Below are 17,765 nucleotides of genomic sequence, written 5' to 3'. Positions count from 1 at the left end.
AGCATCGGCTCATCCAGACTTTAGTATGTAAGGGAACAGTTCTGTGCTGGACTGTGATTCTGCACATGTCCATCCCAACAATTTTGTGTTGTTTGATTTTTTTAAAAAGTTATAATCTTGCATTTCTTTGAAAATAATAACGTGAAACCTCTAACAATGGATAAAGCAAGTAGAGCTATACTGTAAGATCTCGACAAAATGTGTTTTATGCATCCTTTTACAAGGAACCAGCAGGATTCATCATTCATGTGCTTGGTGATACATCGCAGTGACACGTCTGCCCTGGGTCTGAATAAATGTTGATTATGATGGCAAACACACCCACACAACAATAACAACACTTGTCTTCTTGACTCCAATGGTTACCAGATCCAGAATTTCCATAAATTTGTTTTAGTGCTGCCCCTCCGGTTAGAAAGGGAATTTGAGACCTTTATTAGGGTAAAGAAAAGTAATAGAGGATCTTTTGATTTTTCTATCACTAGCTGTCATTTTACAGCTGTCATTTGGGAGGCAGAGAATATGAAGCATACAGAAGGCACACAAAGTATAATCTGTACGTGTGCATATGTGTGTGCATGTGCGTGTGTGTGTGAAAGACAGAGAGAGAGACAAACATGTCATTGCCCTGGGGCAGACTGATTTAGGGCTTTTCTAAGGCGAGCTCAAATCCAGACTGCATTTTCTATGTGGACCATCCGTGTTTCCCAGCAAAGAGGCACCCAGCCAAGGCCCAAGAGGTTGAGGATAAAGTGAGAAGCAGAGAGCTTAGCCAGTTTAGGGGGGGAGGAGGAATGTTCTGTGTTCTCTGTAATGCTTCCTGGCAACATCTGCGCCACAGAGGACTTGCTCAGCTAGCTCCCCTCCGGTCAGCCTGTAAGAGTCCTTTCTAGTGGCAATAAATCCTGCCCTCTGCCGCCCACCCATTCCTTGTGATTTGTTTTTTTTTTCTTTGGAAGTGGAGTTGGGCAGTTGCTGGGGAAGAGATCAGAAATTACTTATTGGAAGGCAGAAGTCACATCTCTAACAACCAGGGATAGACTAATAACGGATACCAGTTACCGAGTCTTGCTACATGCCAGGCAGCTCACATAGCCTCACAAACCCTTTCAGGTGGGTTTTATAAGCCCCATTTACAGATGAGCAAACCAAGCTTCAGAGACTTGTAAATTGCTTAAGATGATAGGACTCTTAAATGCTAAGGCCAGATTCAAACCTGGGCCAGTGTGTCTTCAGGTCACCCGGTCCTGACCACCCATCTGTATTGGAAAGCTAGCTTGAAAGGACCCAAGACTGGCAGCTTTGGTACCCATCCCTGGCTGCTCTGGGACAGGTCACAGAACTGTTGAGTAGTCATAGTCTTGACTACAACAGATTGGAAATTATGATATAATATTTGCTCCCAGAACCAGCATGGTATTAACATCATTTTAAGCCAAGCCTTTGAGTCAGCTCTTTTGTGTATGGTTTGGGAGAACAAAGCACCAGGAACTCTCAGGAGTTCATGCCCAGCCATGGACCCTCTGAGGAGTACTCTTTCTGAGACACCATGGAAAGCTTTTTTTTCGCATTTGCAGCTTCAGATGCTGGTGTTCTACCCTCTAAAGTTGCTGAAACAGGACCATTAGGCGGGATAGTTTTATTGGAATTTAAAATATTGTGAATTTTGTGCTAACTGCCTCTGGCTATAACTGGAGTAAAAGTGACATTGTGTCAGACAATAGCATGCACTAATTAAGTCAGTGGAGAATGTAACAACAGAAATATCACAGCAACAAAATTAGAGTTGTATTCCAATTGTGTTCAGAGTGCTCCCCCAGAAGGGCAGTTGAGTTTAAACTTCCATTATTTTGAGTGAATGTGGCCCTAAGGAATCATGTAGGGATGGTTTTTTATGTGATCTCAGGGCAGTCCCTCTCTTGTACTATAGTAACTTTTATAAAGCTATAGTGTGCTTTGTTGAAAAAGAAAAGTAAAAAATATATTTATTCCTTGAAAAAAGTCTGAGAGGATACATATCTAACTGTTGACATACCTTACCTTGGGAAAAGGAAATTTGAAGAGAAAGGACTTTCTTCTTTTTCTTTTTCAAAAAATTTCTTATATTCCTGGACATCTATCTAAATTCATTATACTCAGCATATATTTTTGAGCAGACTGAAATGATCAAGGGAATGCTCTTAAATGAATAATTCATGCTTTATGGCATCAGATGGTCAAAAGGCAGATAGATAGGTGACTGTTAAGAAGTTGCCCCAATGGAGCTGGAATTAAGGTAGCAAGGGTGTGGGCTTGGGTGGCAGCAGTGGAGATGGAAAGGAAGGGAGGGGAGTTGAGTGCCATTAAAAACCAGGGGCCAGGGGTATCACCTGCATTTGTTTAAGGCTTGCAAAGTGGCACTGTTTGCATGAGGATGGAGCCTAGATACTGGTGCCGACCTATGGAGGGATCTAAAGGAGCTAGAATTCTAATTATCAGTGAATGGGTGGGTCGGTGGTGGATGGATGGACAAATGAATGAGTTCCTTCATTTAAGCGTCCTTTCTTTTTTTTTTTTAAGACGGAGTCTCACTCTGTCGCCGAGGCTGGAGTGCAGTGGCGCCATCTCGGCTCACTGCAGGCTCCGCCTCCCGAGTTCACGCGATTCTCCTACCTCAGCCTTCCCAGTAGCTGGGACTATAGGCGCCCGCGACCACGCCCGGCTATTTTTTTTTGTATTTTTTAAGTAGAGACGGGGTTTCGCCGTGTTAGCCAGGACGGTCTCGATCTCCTGACCTCGTGATCCGCCCGTCTTGGCCTCCCAAAGTGCTGGGATTACAGGCGTGAGCCACCGCGCCTGGCCTTAAGCATCCTTTCTTTTAGGTTCAGGCTGAACTCCTTTAGAAGTCTAATTAGGTCCTCGGTTAGGGCAGTATTTCTCATATTATTCCCTTGACCTGGGGTGTTCTTATCCCAGCCTTAGGGAATTAAGGCCTTTCTAAGGTCTGGGCCATTTCTGGATGCCTCATTGGGTCACTTAAGTCTTGTTTTTTTTTTTTTTTTTAAACTATAAGAATCTCACTTCCAGATTGGTTAAACAATATAGGAGATAGATTTAAGGTACAAGTACCTAGAAGGTCTTCTGGGTTGGGTTGATTTAAGGGCTCACCAATGTCATCCAGCGCTAGTTTCTTTCAAGCTTCCTGTTATGCTTTTCATACAGCAGCAGCCTGGCTTCCTCATGGTGGCAAAATGGATGCAGCAGTTCCAGCCTTTACTTACACATTATCTAGAAGGAGATAGAGAAATATTTTTTGCCCCTAGAAGTTCCTTGAAAAAGCTCAGGTCCGTTCTCACCCATTCAAATTGCGTCTCATGCTGATACTTGACTGAATCCCTTTGACTGGAGAATGTTGATTGGCTTAGGTTATCTGAGCAAAGCATACTTATGGGGGCAGTGGTGGTGGGATCACCATATCTCACCCATATGGCAGATACACAATGCGGGTGTGTGTGGAGGGGATATTAGGTAGCTGTCAGGCTCTAGTTTAGGATAATAAAGCAGGCATGACTGGTGTTTGTAGGTGTATGGGGGAGTGGATAAAGTTGAAGTAGGAAATTATCCAAGAGGGGTAGAAGATTTCCCAAACAGAAGCAAGACAGTGAGTGGGCTCTAGGCTGGGGGCTGTAGAGGAGAATAATCATGAGAGTGCCTGAGAAAACTGGGCATGTAAAACCAAAGTCCTGAAGTGCTAGACAAGGGGCCTCCAGGATTTTATGTGGTTTTGTGGGAGTGAATCAGTGAAGGAGACACTTTCAAAGCCTTTCAGTCTTTCAAAGGCTGTCTTGGCATGACAAGACAGGGAGCTGGGGAGTGGCACCCCATGGCAGCATGGAGCGGCAGCAGCAGACATGTGGAGGGCCACAGACCCAGAGGGGCTCTGGTGTCATTGAACAAGTTCGTTTATTTGTAGCACTTGGAGTGCATGACACAGAGGGCATTCTCAATCGTTGTTACAAGAAGTATTTTTAATTTTAGTTGCTAGGAAGTAGTGAGAAGCAGTAACAGCAAAAGAAACAGGAGGCCAAGTGATTCCGGAAGCATCCTGGTGGGAAAGTGGCAGTTTGACAAACCTCTTTTCTGGGCTCTATAAGCCCCAGAGAAGAGAAGTCTCTAGAGTGCAGTAACTGAACTTCCTTCCAATCTCGTGTATGGGAGTTTGAGCAGCTTCCATTTTATTAGAGAAATAAAGACCTATAGCATTACTTGTGTTGCAAGAGCATGGAACAGCTCATATCTATAGAACTGTAAAATTACACACACACACATATGTGACACACATCTCACTCTAGCCTTACAACACCCTACAAGTTAGTCATTAACAGAGAAGGCAGCTCAATACCTCCAGCTTGGAGGTATTAAGTCCGTGGCAAGGTCCAAAGCTAGAATATGGTGGAGTTGGTCTTTGCATCCAACATCCAGCTCCCACCTCCCTCTTCCTTTCTCACAGACCCTAAATTTGACCAGTTATCCCACTCTCCCCCATGAAGCTATGTGCTTTAAGGAATATGTGCTCACCCTCACCTCCAAAGGAAAGGCTGCCTTTTCCCCTGATCTAATTTTGACCATTAGAAATCTGCTGATGAGATTCTGAGAAAAGTGTTCTCACTTCTGAGGGAGTGCTATGGGAGGAGTTTCCTTCATCTTCCTCTGGTTTTATTGCATCTGGATGGGACATTTGCAACTGCTGCACAGCCATTTGCCACCAAATCTGAGGGTGAGGTCAATACCCAAGATTGAAGTGCAGGGATGGAGAGAATCTGGGTCCTTTAGGATTGGACTGAGTCACTAAATAACCCATCCTAGAAGCCTACAGCAGCAGAAACTGCGACTTGCTTTTCCAGTGGGCATTCTATTCTCCTTTAGTAACACCAAATCTATATTGATAAGTATAGTAATGTACCCAGATATAAAACCACATTTTCTAGATTTCCTTGTCAATGGAAGTTATGTGGCTTTTTGCCCTAACTTTCTTTACTTTCCTGCTTCTTGGAAGGTGGGCATGATGGCTAGAATAATGGCAGCCAATATGTGACCATGAAGCTAACTTGAGAATACAAGTCGTATACTGAAGATGGTAGTGCTGAGAGTGTGGGTCCTGCCATACCAGCTATTGAATGTTTTTCTCTGGGCTTCTTTTATGTGAGAGAAATACAGCACTTTCTCTATGTAAGCTAGCAATTTCTAACTTACATAAGCTACTGTTACTTAATGTTTTCTTTTATATGCAGCTTGGTTTAATCCCAACGGAGAAGCCTATATATTTCTGAATTTCCTGTGGGTGAGAACTAATTTTCTTAATGTATAAACTGTTTGGAATTGGAGTTGCTTTCATATGCAATCAATAACATCCTAATTGTTTCCTCATTGAAACCCATATTGTTCGCATCTGTACTGTGTAGTTAACTACAACAAGGGCTGTATTCTTTAGTTCTAAATTATTCTTGATTGAAAGATCCTAATATTGGGATCCCTACCATTTTCAACATTTTTTTTTCTGAGACAGGGTCTTGCTCTGTCATCCAGGCTGGAGTGCAGTGGCACCATCATGGCTCACTGCAGCCTCAACCTCCTGGGATAGAGCAATTATCCTGCCTCAGCCTCCCAGGTAGCTGGGACTGCAGGTGCATGCCATTACGCCTGGCTAATTTTTAATTTTTTTTGCAGAGACGGTGTTTTGCCATGTTGCCCAGGCTGGTCTCAAACCCTTGGGCTCAAGTGATCTACCTGCTTCGGCCTCCCAAAGTCCTGGGACTACAGGTGCGAGCCACTGCACCCGACCCCATCTTCAGGCATTAAGAACATTCAGAAAACCCAAACAAAAAACACATGTTATGGCTTTGGTACAGCGTTGGTGGAAAATCCAGGTGGTTCCTTTGGCACTTACCCCAGACGATCCTAGTAATATCCTCCCACCTGAGCAGAGTCTGAGTTTTGAATATCCTCCTGCATGCACCTTCAGTTTCCTACTGCCTGCTCCTAAGATCCACACGCCCCAACCATGTGGTCTGCCTCCCACACAAATCCTCAGGGAGGAGAGCTTTTAAATTTGGCAAAGCAACTATTGACTCAGGTTTTGTTTGTTTGCCATTAAGTTAGCATTTAATAAATGCAAGATTCTTGGCTTAATAGGCTGGTTATTATGTGTTATCGAAATGGCAAATTAATTATTCAAAAGCTGTGTTTAAGATATACCAGAGATGTAACTGAGGAGGCCTCTTTGTTCCTAATTTGCAGTAAGCATTGCATTTCTGGCCAGTCAGTATTTATTTCAAGTATAATAATTATCTTGTTAAACCCAAATCTATTAAATTGAAATGAAAGTCAGGAATTAGTGCTGGAGGGTGGGGAAGGGTTTACTCAGGCGATGTTGCGAGCATCCTAAACCACCAGCCTCATGACTCTCACCTCACCGTGAGGATGCCAAAGCCAGCCCCTAAAGCATAACTGCATTGATAATTGTTCATTATCCAGGGACAGAGCCACCTACTATCCTTGGCTCAAGTAACTCTCCCTTGGTTATAAACTTTTAACGTAATGATGAGAAAGACAGCCACTGTTTATCAGTGCCTCTTACGTGACAATTGCTTTACATCCATTATCTCCAGTTCTCACAACAATCTCAATTTACAGATGAAGAAACTGAGACTTGGAGGGGTTAAATAATCTGCTGAAGGTCACATATGTATAGTCAGTCCCTTGGTGTTCACAGGGGATTGATTCCAGGAATCCCTGTGGATACCAAAATCCACAGATGCTCAACTCTCTTACATAAAATGGTGTAGTATTTGTGTCTAACCTACACACATCCTCCTGTATTCTTTAAATAATCTCTAGGTTGCTTATGTCTAGTGCAATGCAAATGCTATGAAAATAGTTGTTATACTGTATTTTAAAATTTATATTTTTAATTGCTGTCTTATTATTTTTTATCTTTCCTCCAATATTTCAGATCTGCATTTAGTTTTGAATCCATGGATACAGAACCCACAGATAGAGAGGGGTGACTGATATGTTAATTGCAGAGCTGAGAGTTTGACTCAGGTCATTTGGGTTCCAAAGCCATCCTCTCTGCAGCTGCAGAAACTCTGAGGCCTTGAACATGTATTTTTGTGTACTGCAGAGGGGAGACTGTTCCTTGCCTTTCGGCTCAGAACCTGATTACCAGAGCAGTCTGTTTTGTTCTCTGCCCCTCCCCAGTTAAGTTCCAGACTTGTTCCACTGTAGCATGGGCATGTTCACTTGCCTTCTTCCACTCTCGTGGCTCCATGCTGCAGCTAAGAAGGGGCCATCAGGCCATCATAACTTACCTTTGTGCATCCACTCCGTTTTCCATCCCCATGTGCAGGACTGCAGGGTTTATCAACAAATTCTAACGAGAAGCAAAAAAATTTCCAAGGAGAAAAAAATATTCCAATGTATCTGAATCAGTTTTCTGGATTCTTTGTTTGTGTCCAAGCCCCTTCAATGCAGCTATAGCTGAGAACCAGCAGCCAGAGGGTGGAGTAAACAAAAGACATGAACTGGGGACTGCCTGAAGACTTTATTATAGCTCACAACTTAGGATATTGAGATGACTAGTTATACCCACAGAATGATGCTGCAGAGTACCCAGGCCACATGGTTCAAACAAGCTGACACAGGGAGATTCTGTTTGGCTTCTACTTACGGGAGCCAGGTCATTCACTCATTCGTTTCATCCATTCATTTATCCAACACATATTTGTCATTTGCCTGCTTTGTGTCAGGCACTGTTGTAAAGCATGAGGTCTCTGACTTTACATGAGATGTCCTAGAATCCCAGGGGTGGGGCAGAGGAAGAAACACTGGCCAGAGTTAGAAGAACTGGGTTTGAGTTAGCATGACCAACTTTTCTGGTTTGCCAGGGACTTTCCCAGTGTTAGCACTGAATGTCACATATCCTGGAAAACCCCTCAGCAACTGGGGAACAGTTGGTTGCCCAGGTTTGAGTGCCAGCTCTGCTATCTACTTGTCTGTTAGTCAATCTATATTTTGTGAGTACCTATTAAGAGCCAGGCAGTGTGCCAGGCTGGGAAACAGCAGTAAGCAAAGAAGAGTCCCTGTGCCCAAGGGGTCCCCTTTCAGTAGGAGTAGACATCCCAAGCAGACACAAATAACTTAAGGTGTGTCTAAGAGCCATCAAGAAGATAAAATAGGTACTGTGATGTAGAGTGACTGCATATGGGAGGGGCTGTTTTAGCTAGGCAGGTCAGAGAAGGCGGTAGCAGGGGGTGACAATAAACAGAGCCCTCAATGAGAGAAAAAGGACAGCTATGTATGAATTTTTGGGGGAAGTTTTCCAAGCAGAAAGATCATCAAGGGCAAAAGCCCTGAGATGGGAACAAATCTGCCAGGTTTGAGGGTCAGAAGGAAGGTTAGTGTGAATAGAAAGAGAGGAGGAAAGAGATGGGGAGGGGAGGAGGAAGGGGTTGGAGAAGCAGGCGGGGCAAGATGATGGAGGGCCTTGGGCTCTGCAGTAAGTGAGTAGGTGGGGCTGCTAGCTGGAGTATCTAGGTGGTAGCTTCTACACCAAGATATCTTAGGTTTCTTTCATGGTAGTGGCAGTATATTAAGAGGGCAAGCCCCAATATACAGGCACTTATCCACCTCTGTTGATGTCTCATTTGGTGATGTTCCACTGGCAAAGCAGAGCTCATGGCCAAGCCCAGCATCAGTGGAAGGGAGCTAGCAAGGGTATGGATACAGGAAGATGGGATTCACTGTGGACAATCAATGTAACAATCTGCTACAGGAGGCTATGAATAGGTATTTATTATTATCCTCAATTATAGGTTTTGAGGCTGAGTAGTATTCCTACACACACACACACACGCGCACACACAAACACACACACACATATATCTCACATTTTCTTTATCCAGTTGTTGATGGGCATTTGGGCTGGTTCCACATTTTTGCAATTGTGAATTGTGCTGCTATAAACATGCATGTGCAAGTATCTTTTTTGTATAATGACTTCTTTTCCTTTGGGTAGATACCCAGTCATGGGATTGCTGGATCAAAGAGTAGTTCTATTTTTAGTTCTTTAAGGAATCTCCACATTGTTTTCCACAGTGGTTGTACTAGTTTACATTCCCATCAGCAGTGTTGCTGAAACCCCATCTCTACTAAAAATACAAAAATTAACCCCGTGTGGTGGTGGGTGCCTGTAGTCCCAGCTACTTGGGAGGCTGAGACAGGAGAATTGCTTAAACCCAGGAGGCGGAGGTTGCAGTGAGCCAACACTGCACCATTGCCCTCCAGCCTGGGCAACAAGAGCAAAACTCTGTTTAAAAAAAAGAAATAAAAAAAAAAGAAGTGTTACCTTTTCGCAGCATCCACGCCAACATCTATTGTTGTTTAATTTTTTGATTATGGTCCTTCTTGCAGGAGTAAGGTGGTATTTCGTTGTGATTTTGATTTGCATTTCCCTGATCATTAGTGATGCTGAGCATTTTTTCATATGTTTGTTGGCCATTTGCATATCTTCTTTTGAGAATTGTCCATTCATGTCCTTAGCCCACTTTTTGATGGGATTGTTTGTTTGTTTTTTCTTGCTGATTTGTTTGAGTTCCTCGTAGATTCCTCGTAAAATTCCTGTAGAGTCTTTTGTCAGATGTATAGATTGTGAAGATTTTCTCCCACTCTGTGGGTTGTCTGTTTACTCTGCTGACTGTTTCTTTTACTGTGCAAAAGCTCTTTAATTAAGCCCCACCTATTTATTTTTGTTTTTGTTGCATTTGCTTTTGGGTTCCTGGTCATGAAATCTTTGCCTAAGCCAATGTCTAAAAGGGGTTTTCTGGAATTTTTACTGTTTCAGGTCTTAGATTTAAGTCCTTGATCCATCTTGAATTGATTTTTGTGTAAGGTGAGATATGAAGATCCAGTTTCATTTTCCTACATGTGGCTTGCCAATTATCCCAGCACCACACTGAACAGACAAATAACAAGCAGTGAGGTTGAAATGGTGATTTAAAAAATTGCCAAAAACAGAGTCCAGGACCAGATAGATTCACAGCTGAATTTTACCAAACATTCAGAGAAGACTTGGTACCAATCCTGTTGACACTATTCCACAAGATAAAGAGGTAATCCTCCCTAAATCACTCTATGAAGTCAGTATCACCCTAATACCCAAACCAGGAAAGGACATAACAAAAAAAAGAAACTATAGACCAATATTCCTGATGAACATAGATGCAAAAATACTTAGCAAAATACCTGCTAACCGAATCCAACAGCATACAAAAAAGATAATCTACGATGATCAAATGGGTTTCATACCAGGGTTGCAGGGATGGTTTAACATGCGCAAGTCAATGAATGTGATACACCACATAAACAGAATTAAAAACAAAAATCACATGATCATCTCAATAGATGCAGAGAAAGCACTTGACAAAATCCAGCATTCCTTTATGATTAAAACCCTCAGCAACATCGACATACAAGGGACATACCTCAACGTAATAAAAGCCATCTGTGACAACCCCACAGCCACCATAATACTGAATGGGGAAAAGTTGAAAGCATTCCCTCTGAAAAGTGAAACAAGACTGGGTGCCCGCTCTGACCACTTCTATCCAACATAGTACTGAAAGTCCTAGCCAGAGCAATCAGACAAGGGAAAGAAATAAAGGGCATCCAAATCAGTAAAGAGGAAGTCAAACTGTACACTGTTTGCTGATGATATGATTGTATACTTAGAAAACACTAAAGACTCCTCCAAAAAGCTCTTAGAACTGATAAATGAATTCAGCAAAGCTTCAGGATACATGCTTAATGTACACAAATCAGTTGCTCTGCTATACACCAACAGTGGCTAAGCTGAGAATCAAATCAAGAACTCAACCTCTTTTACAGTAGTTGCAAAAAAATAAATAAGTAAAATACTTAGGACTATACTTAACTGAGGAGGTAAAAGACCTCTACAAGGACAACTACAAAACGCTGCTGAAAGAAATCACAGATGACACAAACAAATGAAAACATATTCCATGCTCATAGATGGGTAGAATCAATACTGTGAAAATGACCTTACTGCTAAAAGCCATCTACAAATTCAATGCAATTTCCCTCAAAATACCACCATCATTCTTCACAGAACTGGAAAAAAAAAATCCTAAAATTCACATGGAAACAAAAAAGAGCCTGCATAGCCAAAGCAAGACTAAGTAAAAAGAAAAAGTCTGGAGGCATCACATTACCAGATTTCAAACTATATTATAAGGCTATATCACCAAAACAGCACGGTACTGGTATAAAAATAGGCACATAGACCAATGGAACAGAATAGAGAACTCAGAAATAAACCCAAATACTTATAGCCAACTAATCTTCAACAAAGCAAACAAAAACATAGAGTAGGGAAAGGACACTCTCACTTTTTAAAGGTATGGGGCCTAGAGTGAATGAATGCACATCACATTTGTAGGGATGACCCTTTGTGTCTTGTACCGTTTAACAGATATGCATGCACCTTTGTGGGACAAATTGTTCTTTTTTTAAGTCATCTTTTTAGCATTCAATTACAAGAAGAAAATGGCCAAGCAGGCAGAAGAGTTCTGTATTATTTAATCCATCCATCTCCTTCTCTGGCTTCTGGCAAGGGAGGCTGCTGTACTACTTCTTTCCCACCACTCAGTAGACCGATGGAAACAGGAAGTTGAGTGCTCTCCCTGCCGTTGCCTTCAGAAATCTTGTAGCATCTGACAGATTGAGACACATTGCTTCTCTCTCAATGAGGCCTGCATTGGTGACAGTCTCCAGGCAACATGATTGAGAGGGAAGCTGGACAGTCTGTCAACTTGGCCTTCACAGGGCTATTAGAGTGAAGCAAGAGATAAAATGTATTTTGTTTTCAACAAGGTTCCATGTCTGTCTTATATTATCAACTCCAAAACATACCATGAAATATGACTTCTTATTATCCCTACTTTTAGAGCACTTAGAAACTGTTAGGCGAGGTGGAAGTAAAGAACTGGGTGTAACTGGCTGCAGCAGCTTATGCTTGTAATCCCAGCACCTTGGGCGGCTGAGGCAAGAGGATTGCTTGCGTCCAGGAGTTCAAGACCAGCCTGGGCAACATAGTGAAATTCTGTCTCTACAAAAAATAAAAAACTAGCTAGGCATAGTGGCGCATGCCTGGAGTGCCAGCTACTTGGGAAGCTGAGGTGGGAGGATCCCATGAGTCCTGGAGGTTGAGGTTGCAGTGAGCTGTGATCGCACCACTGCACTCAGCCTGGGTGACAGAACGAGAGACCCTGTCTAAAAAAAAAAAAAAGAACTGAGCGTTAATTTTTCCTGAGTAGTATGATGCTACTCTTTCTGAGATCACTATTTGTGGTAGATAAGATAATGCCCTCACACCCCAAAGTTATGAATTCTGCTGCTATCGTGTATGCTAATGCCTTCCATAGGCACTAGAAAGGCACTTTAACCATTGACCATTATTTAAGGATCCATTGAAAAGTAGAGTATATGTTTCCTATTGCTGATGCCCTGACCTAATCCCTGGAACCTGTGAATATGTTATGTTATATGGCAAAGGGAAATGCAGGTTGGAGACGAAATTAAGGTTGTTAATCGGCTGACTTTAAAATAGAGAGAGCATCCTGGATTATCCAGATGGGATCAATGTAATCACAAGGGTCCTTAAATGTGGAAAAGGAAGGTAGAAAAGTCAGAGTGGCTGAGAAAGACTCAGCTGGCCATTGCTGGCTTTGAAGATGGAAGAGTGTCATAAGTCAAGGGATATATGGAGCCTCTGGCAGCTGGAAATCACAAGAGAAAGGATTTACCCCCAGAGCCTCCAGAAGGAAGCAAGGTGTCCTTGCTGACACCTTGATGTTAGCCCAGTGAACCCATTTCAGACTTCTGACCTCTAGAAATATAACATAATCAATTTGTTTCATTTTAAGCCGCCAAGTTTGTGGCAATCTGTTATGGCAGCAATAGGAAACATATACTCTACTTTTCAATGGATCCTTGAATAATGGTCAATGGTTAAAGTGCCTTTCTAGTGCCTATGGAAGGCATTGGCATACACGACAGCAGTAGAATTCGTAACTCTTGAGTGGGGATATTACCCCATGCCTCATATTCTGTAGAAAACAATATTAAAGCTACATTGCTTGTCTAGCCTTATACCAGAGGGACTTATCTGACTGGTGTGGCCTGGTGATTTGGGCAGGGTTCAGCTGAGATTGTTCATTTCCATTCTCTGTGGTGTTTGTTGGGTTCACTCACATATTTGTGGTCACTTGGCATGTTGATTGGTGTTGCCTGATCCTGGATGATGTAATTTACAGGCCTAGCAGTTGGCTGAAGTGTCAGCTGGGGCACTTTGGTTTTTATCCACATGGCCATTCCACTGGTTTAGCTAGCCTGGGCTTCTTCACTTGGTAGGTGAATTTTGAGAAAGAATGCAGAGGTTGCTTGACTTAGACCTTGGCTCAGAAATTGCTTAACATCATTCTGCTTCTTTCCATTGGCCAAGGCAAGTGATGGGAACAGTAGCAACCCCACATTGCCGGGGGCATATATACAGGGATGGGAGGCATTTGTAGCTATATATATATATATATATATATATATATATATATATATATATATAAAATATAAATATTTTTTATCTAAATATATAAATATAAATATTTATATATATATATTACATATATATATATATTTTTTTTTTTTTTTGCTGTTGGTGCTGTTGTTGTTTTGAGATGGAGTCTTGCTCTGTCACCCTGGCGGGAGTGCAGTGGTGCGATCTTGGCTCACTGCAACCTCTGTCCCCCCGGTTCAAGCGATTTTCCTGCCTCAGGCTCCTGAGTAGCTGGGATTACAGGCATGCATCACCATGCCCAGCTAATTTTTGTATTTTTAGTAGAAATGGGGTTTCACCATGTTGGTCAGGCTGGTCTCAAACTCCTGACCTCATGATCCACCTGCCTTGGCCTCCCAAAGTGCTGGGATTACAGGCGTGAGCCACCGTGCCTGGCCAGCAATGGTTTTTTAAGTGTTATACTCTCTGTGGCTCCCTTTCTTAGGTTAGATGGCCTGAAGCTGGTATAGGTTCTTCCTTCTGTTCCTGCCTCTTTCATGTGGTGAGTCTGCCAAGGCAAGCTCTGCCCTCAAGAGGAAAGGCTTCCAGTTGTTTAGCTGCTGTGGCCATGAAAAGGTGGCTAAGTATAACTCAGTATGGAATAGAAAACTCATTCAGATCACAGGGACAGTTTCCATTCACCAGACCAGGTAGCCAGTATTACCACTATTATTAGGACCTCTGATTCCTTTGTATACTTCTCAATTGCTTCAGAACGTGGAAGACAGAAAGGCACGATTAAGTAATACCTCAAGAACTTAGCAAAAACCACCTGAAGGATACAGAGAAATAACCAGTGACAAGAAGGGAAAAGTTCAGGAAGGACAAAACTGGGACGTTATTCTAAAAGTGAAGGTACACATTCTACCAATATAAATGATGAAATAGGATGCACAAGGAAAATGGTCTTTGCCATCCTTATGGACTAACTGTAATATGTCCAATAATTAGGATGTTTAAAATATGTTGACAAAATTCTGGAAAGCATTGGCTGGTTTTGCATTTACATTCTGGTGAAGTCATTTTCTCCCTGTAACTGATATTTGGACAGTTCTCCTGAGACAGCAATGGGGCATAATATAAACTGTCATATAATCATTTAGACATTTCAATTCTCTCTATGTCTTCTTTTTGTCGACAACCTAAAGGAATATATATTGCACATACACATAAACAGACGTGTTTTCACTATTGTTGTGGATGCAATTGATAATGGAAACAAGAAATGAAGGGTCTCTGAAGAAGAGTGAGATTTTTTCAGTTCAGTCCAGTTAGTGAAGTCCAGTTCAGTTCTGAACTTAATCCAGAAGTTGTTATTTTTCCGCAAAAATGACAGTGAAAAATCAGAGGGTTACATGGGAGCTCTCATTTTGCAGCTGCAGAAGCAACAGCAGCAGCATGGAGAGAAGGCATTGGTGTGTGGCCACACGCAGCTTTGGGGTAAGAGCAGGCAATAAGGAAGCAGTGCATTATAATGGAAGGAGCATGGGCTTTGGTTAAAGATAGACCCATGTTTTTGACTCCTGCCTTTGCAAATTACTCACTTTCTAACCTTTCCTGTTTTCATTTCTTCTGTAAAATGGGGCTGATTGCCCTCATCTCATGACTATTGTAAGGATTAAATAAGATATATTTCAAATGTCTACTACTGTGCCTTGCACATTGTAGGCACACAAGAGTGATGACCATACAGAAATGAAATTTGCAGAATTCGTGGGGGGAATTGTGATTCAAGTCCTTGCATGGGTCTGAGCAGTAGCTAGTAAGAACAGAAGTAGCTAGGGTGGTAGAGATAGATAGATAGATAGATAGATAGATAGATAGATAGATAGATAGATAGATTGTAGAAAGCTCCATGTTTTTAGGGATGCATTTTTAGCAAGTACATTATAAGAGATAGTATTAGAACTAACTTTTCACTTTCAGATAATTCTCAAGAAATAATAGGTCTGGTTGGAAAAGCCATGGACTAGTGTGACAGGTCTAAGGGGATAAAAGAGTAATATAAGATGACAACAGAATAGGCAGAACCGGACCACACTTGGACACAGAGAGCTCTCCAAGCTGATTTTGAGCTGTGTCATACCTATGGCAGAGGCAGTATTGGTTCCCATGGGCTACCCTCCAATCTTTCCTCTTGTCGACTTGGCAAGCCTGGGACCTCTTCTGAAAACCTCAGCTCTAACAACTCCTAAAGTGTCTCAGTGTAACAGGTAAGGAAACTGACAAAAGCAGGGACAAGGGCACACTCTCCCTGTTGAGCCCCTCAGTTGGTTTAGCAACCAGGGAGAGGCCACTCCCTGGCTTAGCTCTTTCATCCATAAGCTAGGATCCCTGGTGCCTCTCCCAGTTCTTTCTGCAACCTGCTATAGCATCAGGAGGAGGGAGGGACTCAAGCCATCTTTCTGCAACTCAATGCTCATATTTCTGGCTTGTTATCACAGTGATGTATCCTTAGGGACAGTGAGTCACATCCTAGAAGTAGCTGGCATCCTTGGAGCCATCCCTGACTTTCTCTCTCCCAGCAGGGTGGGAGAAGAGCACCTCTCCTTCCAAGGCATGGAGGCAAGAAAGTCTTCCCCTTCTCAATCCTCTGTTATGGCTAAGCTTTACACACTAGAGTTCAGGTGTGCAAAACCAGAAAGGAGCTTCTTTTGTTTTAGTAATGGATTGTCTTCTGCTCTGAAGCCCCCATAGAAGTAGGGGGAAAAACACAAATAAAAATAGACATGCCAATAAAAGAGAACCCAGTCTCTTCCAGTTCAAAATAGTTCCCTTTGGGCAAATATTCTGAAGTGGTTCCTACCAAGTCTGTTTCTCTCTTTTCAAGAAGTTGCTTTCTACTCTTTTTCAAGATGGCACCTGAAGTGGAGGGAAGCAGAGCCTTAAATATCCTCACAGCAGAGAGGAGGAGTTCTGCACCTGTGTGTGGTCCTCTGGGCTGCTGTTCTCTGGGCCCCAGCTTCTGGCCTTAATAGCCTTCCTTGCCTCAATGTGAAGCCTGGTGGACCTGGTGAATGTTCTCTCAGCCCATGGAATACAACTTCAGCCATCTTCTGCTGCTGACTCCAGCCACCTGAGATTTTGCTGGTGATACTGGTCCTTTGAGACATGGTCACAAGCTCCTTGAGACCCCCAGACCTGGCCAGACCTCCCTGTGGCTTCTGCTACAGGGTTTCCCCATCTTGTGTCTCAGTGAGCACTTGCAGGCAGGCTTCTCAATTCTTAATTCTTCTTTACTTTCGCCATCCCTTTTATTGGTCCCTGAGAACTTTCCAGATCTTCTTTGTGCTCTGCTGAAGCCAAGAGAGAGCTAGGGTGGGCTAGAATGAGGCTATCTCAGGCCCTGGCTATACAGGCACCCACTTCTGCCCATGCTGCCCATTAGTACCCAAACCTGATGTACACGGCACCCTTTGGAAATGCAGACTTTTCCCACAGGCTGTGGCTCTCCCAGGCTGTACCTGGGGAAGCAGAGCACCAGCCATGGTCTTGCTAGGTTTCTCCAAAGTTTCCTTAAGTTCCTAGCGCATGCGCACACCCAGCCCAGCCAGGGGTTTTGATTTGGTTGTGGGAGGGAATTCAGGACACTGTCACACTTGCCCATCCTCTCTTCAGCCCTCTTCTCAGCTCCTCCCTCCACGGAAAGCACCTTCTATCTTCCCCTTCTCTCCAGCAAGAACTGTCCTCATATCCTCCTTCTTCCTTGTTCTTTACCCTTTGCCTTCCCTTTCCCAGGTCCAAAATGACAAAAGGATTATAGGAGCAGAAACAAGATTTCCAACCAAGGAAAAATATGGAAAAGAAAGGGACAGGCACCTCAAGCTGTGTGTCCCAAGCCTTGGTGAAGGCCAACAGAACAGGGAGTGGCTCACCTCCCATTGAGATGTTATGAAACTAGGAGGACCCTCAGGAATACTATAGTCTAGGAGGAGGTTCAGAGAAGTTAAGTGGCTTGCTCAGGATTGGTGACTTGCCCAACTAATTACCCCTACTAATTAGTTGAATGGGGTCCAGTGTTCATTCCATTTCACCACACTCCCTCCATATTGTCAGTTAATATCAATGCTAAAACATCACAAATAAATATAAGGAGGGA

The 17,765-nt window shown here is 42.9% G+C and overlaps 1 annotated feature.

Annotated features, from left to right (window-relative positions):
• Positions 7,807-8,036: an enhancer, noted in NCBI's record as "active region_4624". NCBI's record gives its function as "activates an Ori minimal core promoter by ATAC-STARR-seq in GM12878 lymphoblastoid cells {active_cell/tissue: GM12878}" and the evidence as "EXISTENCE:reporter gene assay evidence [ECO:0000049][PMID:35858748]".

This window comes from Homo sapiens, chromosome 11, assembly GCF_000001405.40.
Source record: "Homo sapiens chromosome 11, GRCh38.p14 Primary Assembly".
In the NCBI taxonomy this organism is placed as follows: domain Eukaryota; kingdom Metazoa; phylum Chordata; class Mammalia; order Primates; family Hominidae; genus Homo; species Homo sapiens.
This window is presented reverse-complemented; position numbering and strand designations above follow the sequence as displayed.